Source organism: Homo sapiens, chromosome 15, assembly GCF_000001405.40.
Source record: "Homo sapiens chromosome 15, GRCh38.p14 Primary Assembly".
Lineage (NCBI taxonomy): Eukaryota > Metazoa > Chordata > Mammalia > Primates > Hominidae > Homo > Homo sapiens.
The window spans coordinates 86317147-86340276 of NC_000015.10; the positions used below are offsets into that span (position 1 = coordinate 86317147).

The 23130-nt window shown below is 38.6% G+C and overlaps 1 protein-coding gene across 7 annotated transcripts in view; it reads left to right on the plus strand.

Moving 5' to 3' along the window:
* Nucleotides 1-23130, plus strand: part of AGBL1 (AGBL carboxypeptidase 1) — a 951857-nt gene that overhangs the window by 237527 nt on the left and 691200 nt on the right. The window lies entirely within an intron of this gene.

A 23130-nucleotide genomic window follows, 5' to 3' on the forward strand; every position in this document is an offset into this window, starting at 1 on the left:
TTTGCATAAAGGCAGTCTATCAATACTGTTCTTAAAGGAAGTGTCCACAAAACACTTTGAATCAACCTAGTTTCTAGCTCATCTGTTTCCATAGCAACCAATCATGATGTCACAAACAGAGGGGGATGACTTGAGGTGGGAATTAGGTGGCAAGAGAGCAGATGGGCTTTTGTAAAGAAAGAAAAGGAAAACAATATCCTATCCGCACAGAGATTTCCTTGGTAATAAAGAGCAAGGGAGAGATAAATAAAGAAGCAATGAGAGAAAGGAAGAATCCTTTCCAAACAGCACTGGAGAAATTAGGAGTGAAAATTAGCAACACTTGCGAGCAATGTTTGTTTCCTTTCAGGCAGTATGAATGATGAATCGGCACCACTCCCTTGGGGTGATGAACACCATGCACAATGAGGAAATAAAACTTTGAGAGGCGAAAGAATTTGCCAGGGCTGTGAAGCAAGTCACAGACTAGCTTTGGGAGGAGGATTGAGTCGATATTAATGATGAAATAGAGCAGGGATTGACAAACTTTTTCTGTAAAGGGCCAGATAGTAAATATTTTAGACTTTTTGTGCCAGAAGATCTCTTTTTCAACTACTGAGCTCTGACTTTGTCACACAAAAGCAGACATAGACAATAAATAAACAAATGGGTATAGTTGTGTTCCAATAAAGATTTATTTATAAAATAGGAATGGGCCAGATGTGGCCCATGAAATTCTTGAAGTGGAAGACTATAGAATATAAGTTTCATATTTAAATGGAAAGGTCCTTGATAGTTGTATGGACACCAGATGCACTCCTGAGACTTCTGGACCAAGTATTATAGTGTCATGAGTAAAAAGAATAGGTGGGTACTGAGTCCAAGCTTCTTCATTTATTCAACAAACTTGATTGTGAATCTGCTTCATGAAATATTCTGGGCATTGGGAATACAGCAGTGCATGAATGTCTGTCATCAAAAGTTTTATGTCCTAATTAGCTGGACAGCTTGGGCAAACCATTTACCCAAAGTCAGCCCCAGCTTTCTCTTGTGGGGATGTAATTTTTTAAAATCATGAGTCATATTACATATACAAAACAATTTATGTAGAACATAAACATAAAATAAATACCTATTTGCCCACTATCCATGTTAACATAAAGTAGAACATTGCCACTAGTGTGTCTCTCCCAGGTCTCATTATCCTTCTCTTCTCTTCAGAATATTTTGTTATTTTCTTTTCTGTCTGTTTTTTGATTTAATCATATAAATATTTCATAAAAAAAACTTAATTTTGCCTCTGATGTTTTAAATTATTTGAGCCATAATGTAGTACTATCCTTTGACATATATCTTTTACTCAATGTTTTTTTTTTTCCCATTCATCCACACAGACGTGTGTAGCTATTAATAAAGCCTGGGTCCAAAGACCACTAGAGCCAGATGTGTAGTCAAACAATGTTAGAGTTATTAACTGGCTGCAGCAATAGAGAATAGAGAATCACTGAGCCTTTCAAAGGGGAGTTATGGGAGGGTATTTATAAGATTTGAAGGGTAGAGTTGATCATAGATTTTTTTTTTTTTTTTTTTTTTTTTGGCAGGGATTGGTCAGGATTTGTAAGCCAGAGAGTTGCTGGAATTGTCAATGGGTTTATCTTTAGAATGCATGAATCCATGTAAAGGTCTGTTTGTGGTTTTCTGTTAGGATATATGGATCTGAATGAAGTGTTATTATTATATGGTCTGTGATGTACATTGTAGCTGAGTTGGCCATAGTTTATTTTTCTTGTGAGTCTGGGTGAATTTTATATATGTTGATTAAATGATCAGTTTTCCCCGTACAGTCTTGCTACCAGCAAGGACATTAAAACAAACAACAAAGAAACAATTTAACTTTACCACTATAGTTTTTCTTCATTGCTATATAATATTCCATTATATGAACAGACTGACATTTACTTATCCAATCTACTTTTGATAACATCCGAGTTGTTCCTGAATATTTGCTGTTACAAGGGATGCTGCTATGATGTGGTTCAAAGTCTCTCCTAACCGAGTATATACTTAGAAGGGAATCATAGTATCTAGGAGCAGGCAGATGTTTAACTTTACTAGGGAATACTGCACTGGTTTCTGAAGTCATTACACAGAGTTAACTTCCTGCCAGTTGTGAATGAGAGTTGCTCTACATCCTGGCTAACTTTCTGATTTTTGCCAGTCCAATGAGTATGTGATGGTATCTCATTGTAGTTTTAATTGGCATTTTTTTGATAATAAATAAGGTTGAACATTTTCTCAAATATTTCTTTAGCCCTTTGGATTTCCTCTTTTGTGATGTTTCTGTTCATCCTCTCCTCCCTCCCCCCACATTTTGCTATTGGTTTGTCTTTCTCTCACATTATATATGGAATCCTTCTGGCCACTGAGGTGTAATACCAATTCTGACGTAAATCATGTTTTTATAGACGTGGGTCTGTTTCTGTTATTTTAGTTCTGATTTGTGTTTTATTTGCCCATCTCTGCACTCATATGTTACTAGCTTTATGTCACTTTAAATAAATTCTGATACCTCGTGGGGAAGTCTTGTAGTCTTGTACTTTGTTTTGCCTCTTTGGTAGTTTTTTTTTTTTTTTTTTTTTTTTTTTTTTTTTTTTGAGATGGACTCTTTGTCACCCAGGCTGAATGCAATGGCACGATCTTGGTTCACTGCCACCTTCGCCTCCTGGGTTCAAGTGATTCTCCTGCCTCAGCCTCCCGAGTAGCTGGGATTACAGGCACCCGCCACCACATCTGGCTAATTTTTGTGTTTTTAGTAGAGACAGGGTTTCACCACATTGGTCAGGCTGGTCTCAAACTCCTGACCTCAGGTGATCCGCCTGCCTTGGCCTCCCAAAGTGCTGGGATTGCAGGCATGAGCCACTGCACCCGGCCTCTTTGGTAGTATTTTAACTATTCTTGGCCTCTTTCACTTCTAAATAAATTTTGGTATCAGCTTGTCTACTTTTAAAACAAAAATATAAAATGTCTATTGAGATTTTTCATTGAGATTTTATTGAAATGATATTCCTATCGGGAAAAAAGGACATTCCTATGATATCTAATGCTCCTCTCCAAGGTTTTGAGAACATGTTATTTCACCATTAAGTAAGATTCTACAATTGGTTTCATAAAATTTTATTTTTTTTTTGTATAAAGAGCTTGCTTTCACATCATATTTTTATTGGATAATTTATATACTTGTGGCTATTACAAATAATATATTCTTTAATAATTTCTTTTAAAAATGATTCCTACTGGTATAGAAAAATGTGATGGATTTTTCTATATTTGTTTTGTATTTTAAAATGATATACTTTTAAAATTTAAATAATTTTTGCAAAACTTTAGAATTTTTTATGCCGATATATCATTTGAAACTGACAAGTTTTTTTTTCCCCTTTGCTTCTGTTATATTCTTTATTTTCTCTTTTTTATGATTCAGAACAATGCTTATTATATGCGGTGATAGTGAGTATTTTTGTATTGTTTCTGATCTTCAAAGAAATGCTCTTAACGTCTTACTATTAAGTATGACATTTACTGAAGGTGTGTGTGTGCGTGTGTGTGTGTGTGTGTGTGTATTCATTTATGAGGTTAAGGATGTGTCTTTCTATTCCCCACTTGCTATAAGATTTTTAACATGAATGGATGTTGAATTTTATTACATGCTTCTTCCCACATCTATTATAATTATCAGATAGTTTTTCTCCTTTAATCTGCTATTGAGATAATCACATGAATTGATTTTATAGTGTTAAACTGTGCATGCAGTTCTGGAATAAATCCATTTGTCATCATATATTATCTTTTTTATACATTGCTTGATTAAATTTGCTTTTACTTTGTTTAGGATTTGCATATATATTCAAGGTGGTGAGAGGCTTGTAATTTTCTTTCTTTTGTGTCTTTGTCTCCTTTTGGTATCAAGGTTGTGCTTATCCCTTAAAATTAAGTGACATAATACTCTTTTATTTTTAAATTCTCTGAAGAGTGTGTGTAACATTAATAACATTAGAATGAGCTCTTCCTTGTATGTTTGGGAGAATTTGCCTCTATAGTTCTGGTGCTTTCTTGTGAGAACTTTTTAACCTGTTAATTAAAATTCATGATTGATTAAATAATATTTTCTGGTTTTCTTATTTATTTTTGAAACAAGTTTGACAAGTTGTCCTTATTTTTTCTGTAATGTTTCTATTTAATCTGACTTTTAACCTTGACTGTAAGCTGTTCAAGTTCTTCCGCTTGTGTAATTATGTCCTTATTTTCTTTCTTAATGTTGTTTATTCATACCTTATTCTTTTCTGATATAAAAATTTCAGAGAGGCCGGGTGCAGTGGCTTATGCCTGTAATCCCAGCACTTTGGGAGGCTGAGGCAGGTGGATCACCAGAGGTCAGGGGTTCGAGACCAGGCTGACCGACATGGCAAAAACCCGTCTATATTAAAAATACAAAAAAAAAAAAATTAGTTGAGCATGGTGGCGGATGCCTGTAATCCCAGATACTTGGGAGGCTGAGTCAGGAGAATTGCTTGAACTTAGGAGGTGAAGCCTGCAGTTAGCTAAAAGTGCACCACTGCACTCCAGCCTGGGCAATGAAGTGAGACTCTGTCTCAAAAAAAAAAAATAGAATTTATTTTCCTTTAAATGCCACTTTATCTCTATACCACTGGCTTTTCTATGTGATATTTTCATTTTCTGTCAGTACTAATTTTTTTTATTGTTACTTTTTTTAACCCATGAATTATTCAATACTTTCTTTAAAATTTTCAAATATGTGAAGTTTTTCAAGTATGTTCTGGTTATCTATTTAATGTTGATTGTAAATTAATTTTATTGTAAGCAGAGAATGTTATCTGCCTGTTACCCATCCTTTGATAATTGTTAAGGCTATCTTTATGGCTTAGTGTATAGCTAATTTTTGTAACTATCTCGTGTGCATGAAAGGAATGTGTACTTTCCAGCTATTGGGTGCATTGTTCTGTATAGCCGATTTAGGTGAAACATGTTTGTCTGTGCTATTTGAATCTTATATATCTTTATTAACTTCTTTTTTTGACTGCTTAATCTGTCTGTTTGAGAGAATTGTGTTAAATCTTCCACTACAACAAGAGATTTGATATTTTTTTCTTGTTAACAGTTTTTCTTTACCTATTTTGAGACTATGATGTTAGGTGCGTATAAATTTAGAATTATTATACTGTATTTTTCTAATTAATTGTAACATTGATCATTATGTAGTGATTTTCTTTACCTTAAATGCCTTAAAGGGCACTTTGATATTAATATTTATGCTTTAAATTTTGAGGGGACCAATACATGAAATTTGAGGGGACCTGGTAAATCTATTTCCAATTAGATTATGTCTTTGGAGGTTTATTTTTAATGTCGGTTTTTTCAGCTAGTTTTTATTTGTAATATCGCATTACTAGTATGCTTTATGAATATTGATTGTAAGGTGACTATTTATTTGGAACTGCATCTGGGGGAACACTTTATAATGGGTTAAGTTATATTCCTGAGAGAATTTCTTCTGCTAGTCACCCAGCAGCATGCTCAACACAAGTCCAGATGAAGTTAAATTATTTACTTCATGACTATCAAACTACATTAGTAGTGTGCATTTGTACTGAAAACCAGCTTGGGGATATACATGGATACTTTCCCAGAGTAGCACTGGAGCCAAGTGCAGTAATTTTTCTTGCCACTCCCTTTGCAAAAGTGTTTTGTTTCTGGTTCACTTTTGTATTACGTTTGTGGCTTTTTTGAGTACCAGCTTTTTGCAGTGGTCTATTAAATTTTCCACTGTGGACAAGCTTTGGGCTGTTTCTCCTATTTCCTGGGATCTGTGGAGTTGTCAAACCAAAACTCAAAATCTCTAGGGGTTGGCAGGAAACTCTCAGGTTCAAAGATGACTTCAATAGTCACTTATTCCCCAAATTTTTGGTTTTACTTTACTTTGGAGCATAGCACATTTTCTTTCTTAGGCCAGCATAGTGATTTTTTTTTTTTGTATTTTATTGAACATTTCAGTTGGTTCTGTGGGAAGGTTGAATGAGGGCACCTCATCCACCATGTTGCTAGAAGTGGAAGAGTCTATTTAATGAATATTTTTCATATCTTATTCTTAGGGTGGCTGTGGGGATCAGGAAAATAATATATGACAAATAAAGTACTTGGCTTTTCCATAATTATGTAAATAACCAAATAACATTACCAATTGAGGCAAAACATGTCAGGGAGAGTCATATTTTGAAAAAAAAAAATCAACTAACTTCATTCTAAGGTGGCTGTGTAAGCCTCAGTATTGTGCATTGTCATGTTAAATAACTAAATATAAATGGTCCATCCACTATCAGGAGAAATAATCATTTCATTGACAGATTATGTTAAGGGCAATTTGACTAGAGACAAGGGCATTGAAAGTTAAATAACTGCCAGTGCAAAATCCTGCTTGCCCTTTGGTGCTAAATGTGGTTTAAGTGGTCTTAGGGTTTAAATGTGATGCTCCTCATATTCAGGTATAGACAATCTAAAAAGAATAATTCCTCTGACTCTACCTTGCTTGACCATCTGTATACTCAACACTGTCAGTGTGACTTCTGAAACTATCCTTTTACCCTACTAAGGTCATGGACCATTGGTGCTCAGTTTTGCACAGTATTTTGCAAACTTAATGGACTTACCACTACTGACCTCTCTTCATGGTGTCTTTCCTTTTCTCTGTGCAGTCTGGCATGACTTGCTTTTTGGAAAGGATGTAATTTACCAAGTATTAACCTGTATGTTGAGCTGCTGTATATCCCAGAACCCCAGTTAATGGATGGTGATGTGCACAGAGAAGACTGTCAATAATTTCTGCAGTGAAATGCTTCATGTGCTATAAGAAAAAATAGAGTCATAAGCATGTCTCATTCAGCCATTTATTTGCTAATTTAAAAATTACTTTAATTTAGTGTCAGGCACTGGGCTAGATACTAGGGGTAGAGTGATGACTAAGATAGTCCTCATCCTTAAAGAATTAATGATTTTCTTAGGAGGAAATATACAAACAAATAGAATGTGTAAGTGTTGTAAGCACTATGATAGAAGCAAATTAGAGATGAAGTATAAAGAAGGGAGCTTAAAACTCTACCCGGGAATGAATGGAGGAAGTCAGATAAGACTTAAAAGAGCAAATGATGCCAGCACTAAGGGATGGAAGCTGTAGGGGTAGGTGTTTCCCATTATGGTGGAGTAGACAAAGGGCCTTCTCTAGGCTTAGGAATCATAGTGAGTGAAGGTCCACTGATGTGAGGCAGCTGTGAACATCTCATAGCCTGCATTCATTCATTAGTTTATACGGCATTCATTCATTAGTTTATATGGCATTCATTCAACCAATTTGTATTGGCATCTACTAGGTACCAGGGACTAAAATATTTATAGAGAGAGTTTCTGGTTTTTTGACACTTTCACACTAATGGGAGACAGTCGATAAACTGTCCAGTTAACAATTAAGTGAGTATTCACATAATGTGATAGTAGCCATAACAAAAAAAGTGGGTGGTAGTAATAAAGAATAAGGTAGAGTCGTAGTGGTAAATCATTTAGAACAGGATGGCCTCTTTGAAAAGACATTTAAGCCAATACCCCAACCACAAGAGTTTGCCATTTGAGAAGGTGAGTGAAGTGGGGCCGAGTTTGGGGAAGAGGGTTAGAGGAAGTGAGCCAATGTCTCCCTAGCTCACTAGCATGTGAGGAGACCATGTAGCAGGAATGAGTTTGGTGTGTTTCAGGATCGGAAAGGAGGTGAGGGTGACTGGACAAGGGAGACAGTCAAAGTAAGTGACATTGGAGAGGTAGACAGGGGACAGATCTTGGAGTGCATTATAGACCAGGCTAAGGAGGAGTTTTGTTTCATCCTATAGTCAGTGGAGAATGTTTAAAGGGTTTTGGGTTTTAGAAATGTGTCTCTTCCATCAGTAGGCAGGATAGGATGGAGGCCTAGAAGACTAGAGAGAGAGGCAAGGAAAACACGGAGTGATTTTTGTAATAGTGTGGACAAAAAATAATGAGTATAATTGGGAATTCTAGGAAGAAATGTATGAAAAATATTTGGGCAAGAATAGAGGAAGAATGGCAGATAACATCCACGGGGGATGAGTAGATGATGCTGTCATTTTCCAAATCTCTAAATTAAGCAGGAGGAACTAGTTGTAGTGGGAAGGAAAGTTTCTTAAATGGGTAACTTTTGAGGTTTTAAGAGCATGAGAAAAGAGAACAGCCTGGAGTTGGGGAATGCAGTTCTATTTGGAGCTTATGGAGCAATCAGGACTTGAATTAGAGATGAATGCAGGTTTGGCAGGGCCTCTCCTTTTCTGTAACTTGCTAAAATACACGATAGGGAATCAGGTTTCACACATGGGGAGTCTTCGCCTCTGCTGCCAGCCTGGCATTGTTATATCACCGAGTGGGCCAGCTCCACAGCCCAATCAATATCTGCCGGCACAGCCATCTTCCATCCCCCTAGCAAGGTGAGCATCGAACAGTTAATCTCCCTTTCTCCAGTTCTTAGTAACTCCTGGTTTGTTTTCACCAGACAAGGCATTGGACTATACTGGAAATATAGGTTGCTATTTTTCCAACGGGTCACATAGATCTCAGAGTGGTACAGTCTGTGCACGTTGGGGGTGGTGGGAAGGGGCACATGATAACTTCTTAATTTTTTCAATTTTCTCTCAGACCTCCTACACTCAAGCCCTCATATCCAGTAGCTGCTCTCTTCTTCAGAAAATTCCAAGCCTTCCTACATGAGCAGGAAGTTCTGTTCCCTTATCCCCTCCTGTATCTTCCAGATATGATCATGTAAGTCTTTAATAGACAATAAATAACTTTTTTAAAGGTTCAAATGAGAAGAGTGCAGCTCTGGTCCCATTTGTGAAGGCAGATCGATGCTCCAATTCTCATTCATTCTCTCCATCAACAAGTAGTTGATTTTTTCACTGTTAGGAAGCCAGCACACTTTATTACAGTGAGCTTTTTTTTTTCATTTTGTTCAGGACAGCACAGTTCAGTCTCATAGACATAATGTATACCCTTTCAGTCTAGAAGATATTTTCCTGCCTCCTTATGAAACAAGAAATGCAGACTTATCAGTCTACACTAGCCATGAGTGTCTCTCTCTTAGCCATCTGGTGTGGGGGAAAAACAGTTCCATTACATTCTTTTTTTACTTATTATATACTTCTAAATATAAGTATACATAGGAGAAGGGTATAGAGAATGATTTTCAGTTTATTATACAATGTAAATAAAATTATCAAATATTATAACAAGGCCAACCAAGGTGAGGATGCAGAAAAAGAAGTGATTCATTCCTTTGGCTAGAGAAGTTTGGCTGGTGGGAAACAAGAAAATGTGTATAGCTTTTCTTTTCTTTTCTTTTCTTTTTAAGGATACTTGATTGTTAAGGGAAAGAGACCATTTGAGCAATAATTAGAGTATTCAGGATTGAGGGAGGTATATGTTGCTTGTTGTTGTTAATTTTTTACTTGTTTGTTTTGTTTACAGACAACAGCATTTGAGCAACCTTCTTAAATATCTGTCTGGAGCAGAAGCCATTCTTGAGATAGAAAAGATCAGAAGTGCAGCCAAGACTGGTAACAACTGATGAAGTATCTGAAAGAAGCTAGAAGGGGGTCAGAATAGATTAGTCATGAACTTCTAACCATGAGCAGGAGGTAGAATGATGTTATCCCCCATATCCTCGAGTTTTTTTCTTTTTCTTTTTTTTTTTTTTAATTTTGCACAGAGCATTATGAGGTCATCTGCTGATGGGAAATAGAGTAGGAGAAGGATTTGAGGAAAATAGTAAAGGAGGAACAGTCATTAAAGGGAATGGAAGGAAAAACTGACCAGTGATAGAGCAAAGAGGGACAGAGGTAAAGGATCAGTGGTAAGGAAGACTGTGGATTTCTGTGGCTTCAACCTATGTGGATGGGTACTTTTCCCCAGCAGTGATCAATAGGTCTGATGGAACAGAGATAGTCAATGTGCGGACTGACCCAATGTGGAGGGTGTGCATGACAAGGGAGTGGCAAAATTGGGGAATAAAAGAGGCTTAGGGTCATAAATTCTTTGTTTTATGGAGTTAGAGCCCCAGCTAAGTTCTTATCTGATAAATTGGTGGCATTCCAAACACTAGGTAATGATTTTGTTCTTGACACATGTTAGCTAGATATGTTGTCCTTTACTTAGGATGCTGAAGGTTACAACATCTCTGACTCATTCTCTGACAGTAAAATGTATTCTTTGGATGTAGAAATTTTGGTCTGAATGTAAATGTTTCCAGAAATTAGTTTAGTTCAGCTTATTTATTTTAAGAAGCGATGAAAGCCACCTAAGAGACAATAAATCTTAGGCATATGTGCCCAGCAGAAGTGTTTGTATATGCAGTGTTTGTTTATGTTTTCATTGAGGTGTCAGCTGCTTTTTCTATACACGAACCATTGTGAGCATATGGCATTTTGAGGTGAGTCATAGGAAATTCAGCTGAGTTTGTTAATTGCCCAAAGAGACAGGTATAAAACTCAGAAAGGAATCAGAATGTATTTACAAATGAACCTTAGGCAGGTGTGACTTGCCTAATTACTTGCTGATGGAAAAAGCACAGCTATTCTAATTTATTTACATCCCACTCTAATGATATGAGGAGGCTCAGCAATTGCCAGATGGGGTGTGTCGGGGTACGTCCTCCTGAGTTGCTCCAGGCAGTGTGTTTTAAAGGAAAGAAGAAGAATATGGTTTAGGATCCTGGCTTCATAGTTATGTGGACCCCATACCTATATGAGCAAGCTTTGTTTTTAAGCCTCTGTTTTCCTCTTTCTTAAAAATGAAGCTCATAATACATAATTTTCTGTTATTCTGAAAACAAGATGAGTCAACAAATACTTAAAGCAGAGAGCTTAGTTCCTGTTCCTATGGATATTTGTTTTTCTCATTTCCTACCTGCTTCCCCCAACTATAAAACTTCCAGCTCCTAAACATGAGAGATCAAGTTAATGCTTATTGTGATTCTTCTCCCACAACAAGAGCAAAAACTACAGGATCAAAATAACCTAACTTAACAATTATAAATAAATTGAGACAAAGTGAACAAGTGAGAGAAATGGAGAGAGAACGATACAGAAAGTATGGTAAAAAGTATTTGAAAGATTTTAGATGAAATTACTAAGACATCCCTTGAACTATTTTTGCAACTTTTTATTTCAAATAAAACTTAAAAAAAATACAATTTATAAAGAAAACGGTTTTTAATTTTTTTTCCAAGATGGCAGATTAGAGGCTTGTAGCATGCCTCAGCCACTTGGAAATAGAATGATAGTGCACAAAGATAAACTCTGTGAGCCTTAACTCAAGAGGAAAAACAGGAATCCACCAGAATCATGAAGGACACCCCAAATCCCGAGGAGGAGAATGTGGGTAAACAGCCCCTGTGACAGTGTCTATCTCATAAAATTTGAGTGAAGCCCCAGTACATGAGAGAGACAGACAGCCTCCCTCTGTGACTCACCTTTCCACTAGTGATCCAAGCAACTGAGGCTGAGAGAGAGCATTTTGTTTCTCCCAAGCCCTAGAGCTAACTTGGAATGAGGCTTGAAGACACTATGAGGGAAAGACACTGGGAAACGCTGCAGGCATTTTCCCAGATTCAGGACCAAGGACAGGACACCGTTTTTAATTTGGGCTCATATAAAGTCAGTCATTCTTTGACAATTTGCATAGCTGTGCAAGCATTTTAGTCTTGGGCCAGAGATTAGAGCACCTGCTCTGGAGGGGTTAGGGACATCCATAGCCAGAACTGTAGACAGTGCTTCAGCAGTAGGTGCTAGAATTGTGCTCTTCCCCATTGCAGGCCTGGGGTGGAAGGAGAGCTGCTACAGCTGTGGTTTCTCCTAGGTGACGAGACTTGCAGCCAGGGCCATCTTGGCAGACTGGAACCAGTCTGCATGTATCATTGCTGGGTGCCTACCCCAGCCTGTTCCCCTGAGTTCGTGGTCCAGCAGATCCCTCTCCACTTCACTCCCAGGCAGAAATCCAGGCATTCAGGGCACCCACTTGCCTGGACCAGCAGCCTGAGCCACCCCACCCTCATGGACATAGATGATAGTGCAGTGGGGCCCTCTCTGCCCCATGTCCAGGTAGATCTCCAAGTATTTGGAGCACTTCCTCACCAGGATCAGAAGCCTGAGCTGTCTCACCCTTCCTGTGCATAGATTGTGGTGCAGAGGGGCCCTCTCTGTTCCACATGTAGACAAATCTCCAGGTATTTGGAGCACCCGCTCACCTGAGTCACCTCACCCTTCCTGTGCAAAGATCCTAGTGTAGCAAAGCCCTCTCCACTTCATGCCCAGGCAGATCTCCAGGTATTTGGAGTGCCTGCTCCCTGGTCAAGCAGCCTGAGCCGCCTCACTATTCCTGGACATAGATCATGGTGCAGTGGGGTCCTCTGCATTCCAAGCCAAGACAGATCTCCAGGCACCCAAAGCACCTCATTACACAGATTGGCAGCCTGAGCTGCCAAACTCTTTCTGTGAAGAGATTTGGGTAAATGCGGGCCCTCTATGCTTCATGCCCAGGCAGATCTCTAGGCATTCAGAGCACCTGTTTGCCTGGTTTAGCAGCCTGAGTTGCCCCACTTTTCCTGTGCAGAGATCCAAGTGGAGAGGAGCCTTCTTTGCTCCATGCCCAGGCAGATCTCCAGGCATCCAGAGCATCCACTCTCCTGGATTAGGAATTTAGGCTTCCCCCTACATCACTGTGCAGAGGACTTGGAGCCTAGGAGGTTTTCCAGATTCAGACTTAGGCACACATCTGGGTGCTTGGTGGCTGCTCGTTGGATTCTCCCTCTGCACTGATGCTTGTGCCTACCATCAAGAGACCTTTAGGTGAGCTGGCTCAGCCTGGCCCTGCCCACTGTGGCTGCTGCCTCCCTGGGAGCTGAGCAGGGAGTTCAGACCACTGTGTACTCCACAAGTCAGCCCATTTCCTGAGGCAACAGAGAACTTTTGCCAGTAAACAAGGATCAAGTATATACCCAGCTGCATTGGCCACAGCTGGCTGTAACCCATAAGGTACGTCTACTGGCTTCTAGGTGAAACTGCATGGCCCAATATAAAACCTGCCGACAGATGTGCATAATAGGGCTATTTTTGGCAAAGAAATAGGGCTATTTTTGGCAAACCCAAAAACTCTGCCTAGCATTTTCTACGGTCACATTCCGTAGGGAAGAGGGGAAAGGGAAAGAAAAAAACTATAAGGAAAGATAAAGAAAAAATTCCACTTACGTGAAAATAATTACACAAATTAGAAGTGCCAGCATCCCCAGATGAGAAGGAAACAGTGCAATAATTCTGACACCATGAAAAATCTGAATGTAGTGATACCACCAAAGGATCTCGCTAGCTCTCCAGCAATGGTCTCTAACCAAAATGGAAACTCAGGAATGACAGATAAAGAATTCAAAATATGGATTGCAAAGAAGCTCAATGAAATCCAAGGCAAGGATGAAAATCAAAGAAACTTCTAAAGCAATCCAGGAAATGAAGGATGAAATAAATATCTTTAAAAGAAATCAATCAGAGTTTCTGGAATTGGAAAAAAAATTGAAATATTTCAAAATACAATTGAAAGCTTTATAATAACTGGACGAATTGGAAGAATTTCAGAGCTTGAAGATTAGCCTTTCAAACTAACCCAGTCAGACAAAAATAAAGAAAAAAGAATTTAAAAAAATGAGCAGGGAAGATGCGGTAGCTCATGTCTGTAATCCTGGCACTTTGGGAGGCCAAGGCAGGTGGATCATGATGTCAGGAGTTCGAGACCAGGCTGACCAACATGGTGAAACCCTGTCTCTAGTAAAAATACAAAAATTAGCCAGGCATGGTGGTGTGCACCTGTAATCCCAGCTACTCAGGAGGCTGAGGCAGGAGAATCACTTGAACCCAGGAGGCAGAGGTTGCACTGAGCCAAGATCGTGCCATTGTACTCCAGCCTGGGTGACAGAGTGAGACTCCATCTCAAAAAAAAAAAAAAAAAAACAAAGTCTGAGAAATATGGAATTATGTAAAGTGACCAAATCTATGAATTATTGGCATAGATAATAATTCTCTCCTCTTCTCTCTTCTTCTCTCCTGAGAGAGAAGAAGAAAAAAGCAACAACCTGGAAAACATACTTGAGGGAATAATTCAAGAAAATTTCCCTAATCTTACTTAGAGAGGTAAGCCTCCAGATACAAGAAATCCAGAGAAGACCTGCAAGATGCTACAATGATGAAAATCACCAAGGCGTATAATCACCAGACTGTCCAAGGTCAACACTGAAGAAAAAACCTTAAAGGCAGCTAGGGAAAAAGGTCAGATTGCATACATAGGGAACCCTATCAAGCTAACAGCAGACTTCACAGCAGAAACTTTACAAGCCAGCAGAGATCGGGGGCCTGTTTACAACATTGTTAAAGAAATGCCAACCTAGAATTTTATATCTGGCCAAACTAAACTTCATAAGCAAAGGAAAAATAAAATGTTTTTCAGAATAGCAAGTGCTATGGGAATTTGTTATCACCAGACCAGACTTACAAGAGCTCCTTAAGTGAGTTCTAAACATGGAACAACATAACTATACCTGCTATACAGAAACACACTTAAGCACATAGCCCAAAGACCCTATAAAGCAATCACACAGTAGAAACTACAAAGCAACAGGCTAACAACTTCACAGTGGATGAATAGTAATCATTAGTTGTCTAAGTGCCCCACTTAAAAGGCATAGTGTGGCAAGTTGGATAAAAAACCAAGACCCATCCATCTGCTGTTTTCAAGAGACTCATCTCACACATAATGACATCCATAGCCTCAAAGTAAAGGACTGGAGAAAAATCTGTCATGCAAATGGGAAAAAAAAGCAGGGATTGCTATTCTTTTATTAAATAAAACAATGTAACAACAGTAAAGAAGGACAAAAAAGGGCATTATGTGATGATAAAGGGTTCAATTCAGCAAGAAGACTTATCTTAAATACTCAACATTGGAACATCTAGATTTATAAAATAAGTACTTCTGAACCTATGAAAAGACTTAGATGTCTACACAATAATAGTGAGGGAACTTTGACACCCCACTGACAGTGTTAGATCATTGATGCAGAAAACTAACAAACTCCGGGCCAGGCGCAGTGGCTCACGCCTGTAATCCCAGCACTTTGGGAGGCTGAGGTGGGCGGATCACGAGGTCAGGAGATCGAGACCATCCTGGCTAACATGGTGAAACCCTGTCTCTACTAAAAATACAAAAAATTAGCTGGGCGTGGCAACAGGCGCCTGTAGTCCCAGCTACTCAGGAGACTGAGGCAGGAGAATGGCGTGAACCCAGGAGGTGGAGCTTGCAGTGAGCCAAGATTGCGCCACTGCACTCCAGCCTGGGCGACAGAGTGAGACTCCATCTCAAAAAAAAAAAAAAAAAAAGAAATTCTGGACTCAAATTTGACACATTACCAATTGGACCTCATAGATGTCTACAGAATACTCCACCCATCAACTGCAGAATATACATTATTCTCATCTGCACACAGAGTATACTCCAAGATCGACCACATGCTCAGCCATAAAGCAAGTCTCAATAAATTAAAAACACTAGAAATTATACCAATCATACTCTCAGACCACAGTGGAATAAAAATCCTCTGCTCTCTCAAAAACCACACAATTACATGGAAATTGAACAACTTGCTCCTGAATGAGTTTTGAGTAAACAATGAAATTAAGGCAGAAATCAAGATGTTCTTTGAAATAAATGAACACCGATACCACATACCAAAATCTTTGGTATATAGCAAAAGCAGGATTAAGAAGAAAGTTTATAGTGCTAAATACCTACCTCAAAAAGTTAGAAATATCCCCTATTAATGATCTAATGTCACACCTAGAGGAACTAGAAAAACAAGAACAATCTAATCCCAAAGCTAGCTGAAGAAAATAAATAAATCAGAAAAGAACTGAACAAAATTGAGACTCCAAAATCCATACAAAGAATTGATGAAGCCCAAAGTTGGTTTTTTGAAAGCATAAGCAAGATTGATAGACTGCTAGCTAGGTTAAGAAAGAAAAAGAGATAAGATCCAAATAAGCACACTCAGAACTAACAAAGGTGACATCACAAGTAATCCCTCAGAAATACAAAAGATCCTGAGATGATTATAAACATCTTTGTGCCCACAAAGTAGAAAATCTAGAAAAAATTGGATAAATTCCTGGAAACACACTATCTCCCAAGATTGTATAAGGAAGAAATTGAAACCCTGAAAAGACTAATAACAAGTTCCAAAAATTAATCAGTAATGAAAAACTTATCAACCAAAAAAATCCCTGAACCAGATGGATTCACAGCAGAATTCTACTAGACATACAAAGAAGAGCTGGTCTCAATTCTACTGAAACTATTCCAAAAAAATCAAAGAAGATGGACTCCTTCCTAACTTATTCTATGAAACCAGCATCACCTTGATACCAAAACCTGGCAAAGACACAATGAGAAAAGGAAACTACAGGTCAATACCTCTGATAAACATAGACACAAAAATTCTCAACAAAATGCTAGCAAGCTGAACCCAGAAGCACATCCAAAAGTTAATTCTCCATGATCAAGTAGGCTTCATTCCTGAGAAGCAAGGTTGGTTCAACATATGCAAATCAATAAATGTGATTCACTGCATAAAAATTTAAAACAAAAACCATATGATCATCTAAACAGATGCAGAAAAAGCTTTCAGTAAATCTAACATCCTTTCATAATGAAACTCTAAAGAAATTAGTCATTGAAGGAACATATCTCAAAATAGTAAGAGCCATCTATGACAAACTCACAACCAACATCATAATAAACATGCAAAAACTTAAAGCATTCTTTCTGAGAACTGGAACAAGATCAGGATGCCCTCTCTCACCACTCCTATTCAACATACTACTGGAAGTCCCAGCCAGAGCATTCAGGCAAGAAAAAGAAGACATCTAAATAGGAAAAAAAGAAGTCAAACTATCTCTCTTCACTTTTGATTCTATACCTAGAGAACCCTAAAGACTCCACCACAAGGCTCCTAGAACTGATAAAGGACTTCAGTAAAGTTTCAGGATACAAAATCAATGTACAAAAATCAGTAGCATTTCTATACATCAATAACATTCAAACTGAGAACCCAATCAAGAACACAATCCAATTTAAATTAGCCACAAAATACTACCTAGGAATACGTCTAACCAAGGAGGTGAAAGATCCCTACAAGAGAAATGCAAAGTACTGCTAAAAGAAACATAGATGACAGAAACAAATGGATGAATATTCCATGGTCATGGATTGGAAGAATCAATTTCAAAATGGCCATACTGCCTAAAGCAATCTATATTTTCTATGCTATTCCTATCAAACTACTAATGTCACTTTTCACATAACTAGAAAAAAAAACTATTCTAAAATTCATATGGAACCAAAAAACAGCCCGAATAGCCAAAGCAATCGTAAGCAGAAAGAACAAACCTGGAGGTATCACATTACCCAACTTCTAACTATACTATAAGGCTACAGTAACCAAAATAGCATGGTACACTACAAAAACAGACACATAGACCAATGGAACACAACAGAAAGCTCAGAAATAATGCCATTGACCAAGACGATGAAAGAAGCAATAAAAATTATGAAGACAGAATAAGAAACTATGAAAATCAACAGGCATATTTAAGAAAAATAAAGGCATTTTTTAGAAATGAAAGATATATCCATTGAAATTAAAACCATGGTAGACAAATTAGGCAGCAGTTTAGACACAGTTGAAGAACTTAAGAAAATGAAGGACATATTTGGGGCCATAACCTATAATTTATGACCTAGAGAAAGAAATGGATACCACAGAAGAAAGACTGAGAGACATGGAAGGTAGATTAAGTTATTTTTTTTTTTTTTGAGACGGAGTTTCGCTCTTGTTGCCCAGGCTGGAGTGTAGTGGCGTGATCTCGGCTCACTGCAACCTCCGCCTTCCAGTTTCAAGCGATTCTCCTGCCTCAGCCTCCCGAGTAGCTGGGACTACAGGCATGTGCCACCACGCCCAGCTAATTTTTTGTATTTTTAGTAGAGATGGGGTTTCACTGTGTTGGCCAGGATGGTCTCGATCTCTTGACCTTGTGATCCACCCACCTTGGCCTCCTAAAGTGCTGGGATTACAGGTGTGACCCACCATGCCTGGCCTAGATTGAGAAGTTCGAAGAAGCTTCAGAAAGAGCATAGAGAGTAGGAAGAAGAGGGCACTGTCTTAAATATATTGGCTAATAATTTTCCAGAAGTACAAAAGATATAAATCCTTAAGTTGAGGATAGGATTAAGTGCACTTGAACACACCAAAGTGAAGTTGCAGAACACCAAATATTGAGGGAAATTCTTGGAAGAAACCAAAGATAAAATACATAAAATGACACAGTCCTTGATTATTGTTTTCTAAAACTCAAGAGTAAAATAAGGTGTTGTTATAAGAAAGTTGGAGAAAACTATGAGAGGAGAATGTTGAGAAAAAGGAAACTGTAAGAAATGAAAGAAGGGAATAGTTTCAAGAGTGTTAAATAGGGGAGATCACAGCACTTAAATTCAGGACACTCTACTCCTGGTTTGTCACTTACTACCTGTGAGAATTTGGCTAGGTTACCTACCTTCTCTGAATAAGAACATGCATGTGTTCTGGTTTTATTTCGATAAGCTTCAATCATCAGCAATCAGCCCCTCTCGCACAGTGATTTTTATTTTCCACTGAAAGAGCCCAATGTGCTGTATTGTGAAGGTGTTAGACACAAAGATGAGAGAAAGCATGAAGTTAGCTTCCTGTCTGGCAGAAAGAAAGGGTGGAGAAATCCAGAATTCGAAGAAGCAGCCAAAACTCAGCCTCCACCTGTGATAGAGTGCCCTAGGCATTTAGGACTAACTGAGGCTTTGAGGCCAGCAAGGAAGTGGTTTGCACGGAGCAGAGGTGCCCATTCGATGTCTCAAACCACAGATTCTTGCTACATCTGCTCCAGGCTGTGACTTACATTTTACTCATGGGGTTGGGTTCTGTTTCTGCAAGTCTTGAACATGCTTCAGTTTTGAGTTGCTAGTCATCACTCTCTGTAACTTGCAAGAGACGCCCCTGAGGTTTCGCTGATTCAAGTAGAGCAGAATATAAACTTATTATGAAGCATAAAGCATGAGAGAATCAAACAAGTTCAGAAAATAAATTGCATTTGGAGCTAAGTGAATAATCTTCCCTACTTCTTGGGCAGACTGGAACAAGGCACTTGTCTGGAATAACAACTGTTGCGTGAGAGTTGGCATTTGATTGCCTTTATTATCCAGAGGGCTGGCATCAGCATGAGGAGGGGTGAGGGGTGTTTCATCAGTGTAGAGTTGCTGGATTGGCTGGACACTTTCCAGCTCTGATCCATAATTTATACCAAGATGGGAATAGCAAGCAAGACACTGCCCATTTTCAGGGCTTTTGCTTATGGACACAAACCTATCCCACTAAATCCCTTACAGAGGAGACTTAATGGGGGCTTTTCATAGCTCTGATAGTTAGTTCCAGACTGGCTGCTGCCTTAAGAAAGAGACAAATGAAAGGTGCTAGAGGCAAGCTCCTATGATGACACATGATCTTTGCATACCCAACCTAAGTAAAAATTACCTTGCCATCTACTTCTTCATGTATTGATAGTCTTCTAGCACAGGAAGATTGTCTGAATGAGTGAAGGGGCCACAAGACTCTGTATTTCTAGAGTGTTAGGAAGCACTCCTAAGGACTCTGGCTGTCCGGGAATGGGGACAAGAATTAGCATCACTCTCTAGGTTGAAGCATTAGATGGACACACAAAACAATTTAGAAATCCTGGGAGCATTTGTATTCCCAGTGCCTCTCTCTTTCTTTCCTATGTTTATCTAATAATGTGCACAGAATTACACTAGTACACTTTTTGTAAACTGAGTTGCTATTTGATTCTCATGTGTTATTTTGTTTACATACACAGATTTACGCAGGAAACAGACAAACCTAGTCACTCATGTTGTGCAAGAATTCAGTGCACTGTCTTGTATTACCAGTAGGCTTTTTTATATTAGTTCTAGAAAAGAAAAAAAAAGTAGGAAGGAAAAGAAGGAAGGAAGGAATGAGGTAGAAAGATGCATGCAGAATGTGTATGTCCATTGCCGCACTATTCACAATAGCAAAGGCATGGAATCAACTCAAATGCCCATGAATGATAGACTGGATAAAGAAAATGTGGTACATATACACCATGGAATACTATGCAGCTATTAAAAAGGAATGAGATCATATCCTTTGCAGGGACATGGATGAAGCTGGAAGCCATTATCCTCAGCAAACTAACACAGGAACAGAAAACCAAACACCACATGTTCCGACTTATAAGTGGGAGCTGAACAATGAGAGCACATGGACACAGGGAGGGGAAAAACACTTACTGGGGCCTGTCGAGGGAGGGTGGAGGGTGGGGAGAGCATTAGGGAAAAAGCTGATGCATGCTGGGTTTAATACCTAGGTGATAGGTTGATAAGTGCAGCAAATCACCATGGCACATGTTTACCTGTGTAACAAACCTGCACATCTTGCACATGTACCCTGGAACTTAAAACAAACAAAAAATGCACTTAAAAATAAAAAAGAAAGATGCATGTAGGGTATTATTTTAATTCATTCATTTACCAAATATTTATCAAGTGTCTGGTATATGCCAGACACTTCTAGTCAGGAGAGATGCGGTGAGTAGGAAGCAAAAAAGATAAGGTCTTGCCCTTTGAGTTTGCAATCTAGTGAAGGGACACATAAACTGATTAATTGAAATGGTTCTAAAGGAAATGGAAGAAAGAATAGCAAAATGGAGGATAAGGGGACATGGGGACATGGGCTCTGAATTATGAGAAAAGGTCAGGAAGTCTCTGTGAAAGGTAACAGTTGGAGGAGAGAGACTTGGAGAACTCTTCTTGGCAAAGAAAATAGCAATTGCAAAAGTGCATTTGAAAACAACATGTTTTAAATCCCCGAGACAGGAATGTGCTTGGTGGGTCCTAATCAGGGAGGTCAGGTGGCTGAATGGGGAGAACAAGGTGGAGAGGCAGAGGTAAGTTCTGAGAGGTGACGAGGGCAGTTTCTGCAGACACTGGTAGCAGTTGTAGGGATGCTGGCTTTTTCTTTGAGTGATTTGGCACCATTGGTGGCTTGAGGTAGAAGAGTGATACGTTATGTTTTATTTATTAAAGGAATTACTCTGGCTGTTATGAGGGCACTGTGAAGGGATAAAGTGACCCCCGAAGAATCCTTTGCTCTGATCCAGGAAAGCATAGTGGTAACTTTGAACAGAACCACAAAGGTAGGGGGGTGGCTGTATTTTGGACCCATTTTGAAGGCAGAACAACAGATTTTGCTATTGGATTGGACAAAGGACGTGCAAGAAAGAAAGTCATCAAGGATGACTCCCAGGATAAATGGTTTGAATGGGCTGCCCAAACTGGAACCAGGAAAACCGGTGTAGAGACTGTTCTCAGTCATCCACGTAAAGCTAGAGCTTCCTGGACCATTGAAAAAGAGTCGTGAGAGTGGATCTCCTTGCTCTGCTCTCAATGCTAGGAGGACAGCACTCAGTCTTTCACCATTATATGTCATGTTAACTGTAGGTTTGTTGTGGATGATTATTATCAAGTTGAGGATGTAACCCTCTACTAGAGGGTTACAAGTGTTCCTATTTTTCTGAGAATTTTTATCATAAGTGGGTGTTGAATTTTGTCAGTGCTTTTTATGCGTTAATATGATTGTGTGATTTTTCTTTAGTTTGTTAATATGGTAGATAATACATTGCTTTATGATCCTTCATCCTTGAAGGAAATTTTCACTAGATACGGAATTCTGGGATGAAAGTCCTTTTCTTTCAGCACTTGAAGAATATTGTGCCACTTCATTTGGCCTCTGGTTTTTGATGAGAGATACACTACCATTCAGTTTTTTCCCCGATAGGTAAGGTGTTATCCATTTCTTGTTGTCTTCAAGAACTTTTTTCTTTATTTTTCAAAATGTAATTATAATATGTCCTGCTCTAGTTTTCTTTGAGCTTATCCTATTTGGTGTTTGCCCAGCTTCTTGAATCTGTAGGTTGTTTATCGCGAAATTTGGCAAGTTTTAAACCATTATTTCTTTTAGTTCCCTTTTTGGCTCCACCATCTTTCTCCTCTAATTTGGGGACTCCAATTATATGAATGTTCGATCTTCTATTTTGTCTCACAGGTCATTGAGATTTCTTCTTTTATTTCAGTGAATTTTTTTCTGTTGTTCAGATTAGGTAATTTTTATTGCTCTATCATCAAGGTAACAGATTCTTCTTTCCCTCCATTCTGCTGTTTAGCCTATTTGTTAATTATTTTTTATTATAGTAATTGTATTTTTCAGTTCTAAAGTTTTTATTTCGGCCGGGCGCAGTGGCTCATGCCTGTAATCCCAGCACTTTGGGAGGCCGAGGTGGGCGGATCACAAGGTCAAGAGATCAAGACCATCCTGGCCAACATGATGAAACCCCGTCTCTATTAAAAGTACAAAAATTAGCTGGGCGTAGTGGCGCATGCCTTAATCCCAGCTACTCGGGAGGCTGAGGCAGGAGAATCACTTGAACCTGGGAGGCAGAGGTTGCAGTGAGCCGGGATTGTGCCACTGCCCTCCAGCCTGGCGACAGGGCGGGACTCCATCTCAAAAAAAAAAAAAAGTTTTTATTTCATCCTTCCTTATATATTCTACTTGTTTGCCAAGGACCTTTTTAATTTTCATTTCTTCTGAAGCATTTTTATGATAACTGCTTAAAATCTTTGTCAGCTAATTCTGACATCTCTGTCTTCTCAGTGTTAGCTTCTATTGATTGCTCTCTTTCAGGACAATTTTCCTGTTTTTTATTTTTATTTTTGTGTGATGAGTGATTTTTTGACGGAAACCTGTATATTTTGAGCTATGATATTATGAGACTTTGGATCTTATTTAAGCCTTCTGTTTTAGCTAGTGTAGTGAGT